General features: G+C 49.0%; 1 annotated feature.

Moving 5' to 3' along the window:
* Positions 1031-1310: a silencer, noted in NCBI's record as "silent region_10641". NCBI's record gives its function as "represses an Ori minimal core promoter by ATAC-STARR-seq in GM12878 lymphoblastoid cells {active_cell/tissue: GM12878}" and the evidence as "EXISTENCE:reporter gene assay evidence [ECO:0000049][PMID:35858748]".

The raw sequence follows: 8813 nt of genomic DNA, 5'->3' as shown, positions 1-8813 counted from the left end.
CGGCCCCATCCTACCTTTTTGGTCTAAGTTCAGACGGCTCTTCAACCCCCCCAGACTGAGTCAGCAGCACCCACTCTCCCCTTGGATCCTACAGGCCCCTCTCCTCCCCTATCCCAGCCCTGACCCATCTGCCTGTGCCTCCCCCGTCCTCTCAATGACTCATTCTGGGCTGTCACTATCTGGTGGCAGGTCTGTCTGCCTCACTGGACTGTGAGGGAGAAGGGGGTCTGGGGCGTCTCAGTCACTTCCCCGTGCCAACACAGGGCCAGGCACAGAAGAGGCAGCCTCAGTGTTTCCCCTCTGCAAACCACTAGGAAGTGAGAGGGGCAGAAACGGCCTAGGACTGGGACAGAGAGGATTTGAGCAACTGGAAGGATGGGGAACTGAGGTCAGAAGCACGCAGCAAATCTGGGACACAGTCAAGGCACCCCCACCCCGTCCCTGACTGATCTCTTCGTTCAACCACCCTTCCTTGCGCCCAGAGCAGCCTTTCTCAGAGCTGCCCCCACAACGGTTCCCGCGGATGCAGATGGAAGGGGGCCGTCCCGGGGAGGACCTCCCACAGGCTCCTCTTGGCCCATTTCCCATCTTCCCTCCCACGCCCAGGATGGAGACTCTGGCTCTCCACGGAGCTTTTCGCTCCAAAGAGGCCCTGGAACCCGGATCAACCGCCCACTCCCACTTCTCCAGGTTTCAGCCCGCTAAGAATAGACCAGGGACATCGCACTGGAAAGCCCCGCCCTACCCAGGAACCCCATCCCACACAAACGCCTATCGAGGTCATTTTGGGGGAACAGGAGGACGTCCCCCTGGGGCCGGTTCTGCACTCCTCTCTCCCGTTCTTTGGGAAGCTCCGCCCTCCGTTGCAGCCCCGCCCCTCGCGGCCGCCCCCTTTCCCGGAACCGCCCCCGGCCGCGCAGGCTATTTTGATGCATTCCACGGGTGACAGAGCCGGGCGCCCCCACCCCGCTTCCTGTTGGGTGATTTTGTTTTGTTTTGTTTTGTTTTTTAAAGCTCCACCCCCAGGAGGCCACAGTTTCTCCGGGAGCCGGCCGCGCAGGACCGGGGACAGCCCTGGCCCCTCGCTGCACAGCGCTGGGACCGCCCCACGGAGCGCGGCGTCTCATGCTCCCTGGGGCCCGCTGCTTCCACTGCCCTGCGCAGGGCCACGCGCCACCCCGGGCTGCCTGGCCGTAACCTACCCCGTCCACCCTCCAGGCGCGCTCGCCGACCTCCCGCACCTGTGGGGCCACGTGGTTGCCGGGAGCGCTCCTCTAGCGTGGTGAAGCAGCGCCCCCTCGTGGTCTTGCGCTCGCGGCGCCTGGGCGGCCGCCCCTCCAAGACTTTGCTAAGGCAGGAAAAGTGTTTAAGAAAAATTAAAATTGTGCTGGGCGCGGTGGCTCACGCCTGTAATCCCAGCACTTTGGGAGGCCGAGGCAGGTGCATTACCTGAGGTCAGGGGTTCAAGACCAGCCTGGCCAAAATGGCGAAACCCCGTCTCGACTAAAAATGCAAACATTAGCCGGACGTGGGGGCGGGCGCCTGTAGTCCCAGCTACCCGGGAGGCTGAGGCAGGAGAATCGCTTGAACCCGGTAGGTGGAGGTTGTAGTGAGCCGAAATCGAGCCACTGCACTCCAGTGATAGAGGGAGACTCGGTCTCAAAAAAAAAAAAATTGCTGTCGCATTCATGAACATTATACTTCAGGCCCTGGCTCAGCCATTCACCCCTCTGGGAAGTCCTCCCTGACTGGTCGGGCGCCTCCTTTGGGCTCCTATGGTTCCTTATGCTCCTCAACTGGGCCTGTACCTCCCCGCCCTGGCCCGGATCCGTCTGCCTGTACATCTCCCATCTGGACCTCGACCCCTTTGCCCTCTGCCTGCACCTCACCAGTCCCCGCCCCGACCCCTCTGCCTGTGCCCCCCATTCCAGCCCAACCTCTCTGCCCGGGCTTCCCCCATCCTGGCCTCCCACCCCTCTGCCTGTCCCCTCCCCACCATCCCGCCGTGATGGCTCTAGGCTGTCACTGTCTATAATGGGTCGGCGTCCCCGCCCTGCACAGAAAACCTCATGAGGGCAGGGAAGAGAGCTGTCTTGATAACTACTGAGTCCTCAGTATTACCAAGGTAACATTTATTTCCTCCCTCAACACTGGTTTTGTTTTAACAGCTTTACTGAGGTATAATCTACCTGTCATAAAATTCACCTATTATAAGTGATTTACTGATTTTGGGTGATTTTACAGTTCTGCAGCCATCACAGCCAATTCAAGAACATTTCCATCACTCTGAAAAGATCCCTTCTGCCCATTTGCAGTCGCTCCCTATTCCCTGTCCCAGCCCCAGGCAACCACTGGTCTACTTTCTGTCCCATACATATTCTCTTCTTCATTTTACAAGCATTTTCTGAATATTTATTTTTATCAGCTATTGAGGGCTGAGGGTACACAATGAAACTCACAGGCCCTGCCTTCAGGGAACTCAGAGTCTGGTTATTGTAATAGCTGATGGGAAAATATGTCCATGCACTAATTTCTTCATTCATTCAAAAAACATTTATTGGCCAGGCACTGTGGCTTGTGCCTGTAATCCCAGCACTTTGGGAGGCTGATTGGGGAGGGTCACTTGAGGCCAGGAGTTCAAGACCAGCCTGGAAAATATAGTGAGACCCCCCCCCCCACCCCGATCTCTACAAAAAAATTTTTTTTTTTAATTATCAAGGTGTGGTGGTGCACACCTATAGTCCCAGTAACAGGAAGCTGAGGTGGGAGGATTGCTTGAGCCCAGGAGGTCGAGGCTGCAGTGAGCCATGATTGTGCCACTGCACTCCAGCCTGGGTGACAGAACAAGACCATCTCTACAGAAAAAAAAAAAAAAAAAAAAAAGAGAGAAAAAGAAGGGTCTTCCAAAAATTCATGGAAAATGTGTATTATGAAAAAACTATGCATGGAGTTCAATTTTTTTTTTTTGCACCAAAATAAATTCATACTAACTTGTTATAACTTGTCTGAACAGGACCTAGTTTGAGACACTAAAATAAAACATCAGATTGAAAAGAGCCCCTATCAGAGCAACACGAATTCTAAAATTGAAGCAAGAACAAGCATCAAATTGATGGTGAAGCTTGGGTGGAAGAATGATGAAATCATTGATGTTTTCCAAAAACTTGACAGTGCCCCAGAGAAATCAGCCATTTACAAATGGATAACTCGTTTTAAGAAGGGACAAGTTCGGGCGTGGTGGTTCACGCCTGTAATCCCAATACTTTGGGAGGCTGAGGCCAGCGGATCATTGGAGCTCAGGAATTCGAGACCAGCCTGGGTAACATGGTGAAACCCCATCCGTACAAAAAATACATAAATTAGCTGGGTGTGGTGGTGCACACTTGTAGTTCCAGCTACTCAGGAGGCTGAGGTGGGAGGATCACTTGAGTCTGGGAGGTAGAGGTTGCAGTGAGCCGTGATTGCGCCACTGCACTCCAGCCTGGGTCATGCTGAAGATGAAGCCCACCGTGGCATACCATCCACATCAATTTTTGCAGAAAAAAATTAAATTTGTTTATGCCTTAATTAAAGAGGACTTACAGTTAACAGCAGAAACAATAGCCAACACCATAGACATCTCAATTGGTACAGCTTACACAATTCTTTTTTCTTTTTTTTTTTTTTTTTTTTTGAGACAGGGTTCTCATACTGTCGCCCAGGCTGAGTACAGTGGTGAGATTGTGGCTCACTGCAGCCTCAACCTCCTGGGCTCAAGCGATCCTTCCACCTCAGCCTCCGAAGTAGTTGGAACTACAGGTGCGTGCCAGCACGTTCAGCTAAGTGTCACACGCGTCCCTGTGAAGAGACCACCAAACAGGCTTTGTGTGAGCAACAAGGCTGTTTATTTCACCTGGGTGCAGGCAGGCTGAGTCCAAAAAGAGAGTCAGCAAAGGGTGGTGGGATTATGATTAATTCTTATAGGTTTTGGGATAGGCGGTGGAGTTTGGAGCAATGTTTTGCGGGCAGGGGGCGGATCTCACAAAGTTCATTCTCAAGGATGGGAAGAATTACAAAGAAACTTCTTAAGGGTGGGGGAGATTACAAAGTACATTGATCATTAGGGTGGGGCAGAAACAAATCACAATGGTGGAATGTCATCAGTTAAGGCTATTTTCACTTCTTTTGTGGCTCTTCAGTTGCTTCAGGCCACCTGGATGTATACGTGCAGGTCACAGGCGATATGATGGCTTAGCTTGGGCTCAGAGGCCTGACACTAAATTTTCGTATTTTTTGTAGAGATGGGGGTCTCATTAGGTTTCCCAGGCTGGTCTTGAACTCCTGGACACAAGTGATCCTCCTGCCTCATTCTCCCGAACTGCTGGGATTACAGGCTTGAGCCACCTCACCCGGCCTCAGCTTACACAATTCTGACTGAAATTAAAGCTAAACAAACTTTCCACTCGATGGGTGCCAGAACGGTCGCACCCAGATCAGCTGCAGAGAAGAGCAGAGCTTTCCATGGACATGCTAAACAAGTGAGATCGAGATCCTAATGCATTTCCTTGAAGGATTGTAACGGGAAATGATACATGGTTTCACGGGTGCAATCCTAAAGACAAATCGTAATCAGAGAATGATTGCCAAGAGCGGGGAAGTGATCCAGTCAAGGCAGAAGCACACTGGTCAAGAGCAAAGGTCATAGCAACAGTTTTTGGGGATGCTCAAGGCATTTTGCTGGTTGACTTTCTGTAGGGTCAAAGAATAATAAGATCTGCTTATTATGAGAGTGTTTTGAGAAAGTTAGCCGAAGCTTTAGTAGAAATAAGCCTGGGAAGCTTCACCAGAGAGTTCTTCTCCAGCATGTCTACGCTTCTGCTCATTCTCCTCATCAAACGAGCAATTTTACAAGTTTTGATGGGAAATTATTAGGCATCCACTTGGCAGTCCCAATTTGGCTCCTTCTGACTTTTTGTTTCCTAATCTTAAAATCTTTGAAGGGCACCCATTTTTCTTCAGTTAAGAATGTAAAAAGACTGGGCTGGGCGGAGTGGCTCACGCCTGTAATCTTAGCATTTTGGGAGGCCAAGGAGGGTGGATCACCTGAGGTTGGGAGTTCAAGACCAGCCTGACCAACATGGCAAAACCCTGTCTCTACTAAAAAAAAAAATACAAAAATTAGCCAGGTGTGGTGGCTCATGACTGTAATCCCAGCTAGTCGGGAGGCTGAGGCAGGAGAATCACTTGAACCCAGGAGGTGGAGGTTGCAGTGAGCCGAGATCATGCCACTGCACTCCAGCCTGGGCAACAAGAACAAAAAAAAAAGGCCTGGCACAGTGGCTCACAACTGTAATGCTAGCACTTTGGGAGGCCGAGGCGGGCAGATCACCTGAAGTTAGGAGTTTGAGACCAGCCCGGCCAACTTGGCAAAACCTCGTCTCTACTAAAAAAAAAAAAATTAGCCAGATGTGGTGGTACATGCCTGTAGTCCCAGCTACTCAGGAGGCTGAGGCAGGAGAATGGCTTGAACCCGGGAGGCAGAGGTTGCAGTGAGCCGAGATCATACCACTGCACTCCAGCCTGAGCAACAGAGTGAGATTCCATCAAAAAAAAAAAGAAAGAGAAAATGTAAAAAGGCTGCACTGACATGATTAAATTCCTGGGACCCTCAGTTATTTAGGGATAGACTAAATGGCTGGTATAATGGTTTACAAAAGTGTCTTGACTTTGACCTTGATGGAGTTTATGGTGAGAAATAAAGATTTTTTTAAAATTTTTATCTCTTAATTCCATTCTCCATCAACTTTTTGAATTCCCCTCATAACACAATAGCAATTTGTAGCTCATACCTATAAGCTTAGATAGCATACAGTAGCTCATACCTATAAGCTTAAGTAGACATTTACATAACTTTTAGATATCTATAGTACGTAGATAGCTACAGATCAATGTAGATGTCGAAAGAGAAAGAGCGAGACCAGGCCAGGTGGTTCACGCCTGTAACCCCACTGCTTTGGAAGACTGAAGCAAGGGGATCGCCTGAGGCTGGAGGTTCCAGACCAGCCTAGACAACATAGCAAGAACTCATGTCTACAAAAAAATTCTTTTCATTAGCTAGGTATAGTGGCACACACCTGTAGTCTGGGCTACTCGGGAGGCTGATGCAGGAGGGTCTCCCGTGCCTAGGAGTTTGAGGCTGCAGTGAGCTATGATCGAATCATCGTACTCCACCTGGGCAACAGAGAAAGACCCTGCCTCTTAAAACACAAAGAAATAGGCCCAGCACAGTGGCTCACGTTTGTAATCCAAGCACTTTGGGAGGCCAAGGTGGGGGGAATCACTTGAGCCCAGGAGTTTGAGAACAGCCTGGGCAACATGGTGAAAACCCGTCTCTACAAAAAATACAAAAATTAGCTGGGTGTGGTGGTGGGCACCTGCAGTCTCAGCTACTCAAGAGGCTTAGAAGGGAGGATCGCTTGAGCCTAGCAGGTTGAGGCTGTAGTGAGCTGTGATCACACCACTGCACTCCAGCCTGGGCAACAGAGTGAAACCCCATCTCAAAAACAAACAAACAAACACACACACACAAACCAAAACAAAAACAAAAACACAAAAGGCCAGGTGTGACGGTTCACGCCTGTAATCCAGCACTTTGGGAGGCCAAGGCAGGCGGATCACCTGAGGTCAGGAGGTCAAGACCAGCTGGCCAACGTAACAAAACCCTATCTCCACTGAAAAATACAAAAATTAGCTGGGCATGGTGGTGGGTGCCTGTAATCCCAGCTACTTGGAAGGTTGAAGCAGGGAGAATTGCTTGAACCTGGGAGGCAGAGCTTGCACTGAGATCGCACCATTGCACTCCAGCCTGGGTGACAGAGCAAGACTCCGTCTCAAAACAAAAACAAACAAAAAACTGCAAAAACCTAGTGAATCCATATCCACAGTATATTATTATATCTTCTACTTTTCTTGCAATTCTTTTGCATGTTTAGAAATTTTCTAAATAGAAGGGTGGGGGTAGGGGTGTGGTAAGCATCTGCCTTAGAGGAAAGCAGGAATTGTCCATGAGTGGCATATGTGGAATGAGGAGAGGAAGTGCCTCCATATTGCCTGGGTTTCTGGCTTGAGGTCCCAGGTAGAGACATTTTTGAGACTGGGAAGATTGTGATCGTGGAGGGGAATAGGTGTGAAGGGGAAAAATCAACGGTTTAAGAATGACCACCAAGTGTTGGTCAGAGGCTTGTCAAGAAAAAAGAAACCACATGAAGTATTTCAACAAGAAAATTGAATGTAAGGATCTACCTTTCAAAGCAGGTGAGTCTCGAAGGCACTGGAATGTGTGGCTGGAGCTCTGAGGAGGGGGTGGGCTGGGGCCAGGCACAGAAGATACCAGGGATGTATTCATTGCAACACAGGGAGGGTGGATGGACAGCTGAGTAAAGACAAGACCCCTCTCTGGGTACAGCTGTGTAACTGAAGGCAGAGGCATGTGGAGAATGGGTTGTCTTAAGAGTGGGTCAGCCTGGGGCACACATTTCCTTTTCTGAGCAGTGGCCCAGCAGGCTCTAGAATGGGGTTGAGGCATAGTTTCCAGAGGTTTTTTCTTTTTAGAAGTCACCTGCTTATTATTTTTTGCTTTATGCACTCATAGGAGAGTGAAGATGAAAAAGATTATGAAAGAGAGAAATTGATTCACTTTTGAGGATCCCCAGGGTTTTGGAACAATCTTTGAAAACCCCTTCAGTCACAATATTTTGTGGCTCTCTCTTAACTTGTGCAGTTAATCCATAATGGTTGGGGTTTCAGCAGGTTTGCCATTATGACAAGTGCTGTGGTGGACATCCTTGTTGCTAAATTCTTCTGTACACATGAAATCATTTTTTTTAATTTTAAAATTTCTTTTTTTCCTTTATTTTTTATTTTCTTTCCTTAAATACTCTCCTATTCCAGAATAAAACCATCTTTTTTTTTTTTTTTCTCGAGATGGAGTCTTGCTCTGTCACCCAGGCTGGAGTGCAATGGCACGATCTTGGCTCACTGCAATCTCTGCCTTCTGGGTTCAAGAGATTCTCTTGCCTCAGCCTCCCGAGTAGCTGGGATTACAGGCCTGTGCCACTAGGCATGGCTAATTTTTTGTATTTTTAGTAGAGGCGGGGTTTCACCACGTTGGCCAGGCTGGTCTCGAACTTCCTGACCTCGTGATCCACCCACCTCAGCCTCCCAAAGTGCTGGCATTACAGACGTAAGCCACCACGCCAGGCCGAATAAAACCATTTTTAATTGACTTATTTATCCTCCCCACCCCTTTTCAATGACTTGGAAATCAGGATGTGTCTTATAAATGATTATGTGTCATAGTTTAACTGGCAGCTGTTTTTTCTCCCCTGGGGATTTGAAGTGACAATGCATCTTGGCTGGGTGTGGTGGCTCACCCTTGTAATCCCAGCATTTTGGGAGGCTGAGGCGGGTGAATCACTTGAGGTCAGGAGTTTGAGACCAGCCTGGCCAACATGGTGAAACCCCATCTCTACTAAAAATACAAAACTTAGGCGTGGTAGGGCACACCTGTAATCCCAGCTACTCAGGAGGCTGAAGCAGGAGAATTGTTTGAACCTGGGAGGTGGAGGTCGTAGTGAGCTGAGATCGCACCACTGCACTCCCACCTGGGCAACAGAGCAGGACTCTGTCTCAAAATAAAAATAAAAAATAAAATAAAATAAAATAAAAAACAATGCATCTTACCTTTGATGGCTTCTTGGATTTGAATGATTACTGTAATAACAGTAATACTCAGCGTAAACACCCACATAACACTGTGTGCCAAGGTAACTCTT

Source organism: Homo sapiens, chromosome 19, assembly GCF_000001405.40.
Source record: "Homo sapiens chromosome 19, GRCh38.p14 Primary Assembly".
Classification (NCBI taxonomy): Eukaryota; Metazoa; Chordata; class Mammalia; order Primates; family Hominidae; genus Homo; species Homo sapiens.
This window is presented reverse-complemented; position numbering and strand designations above follow the sequence as displayed.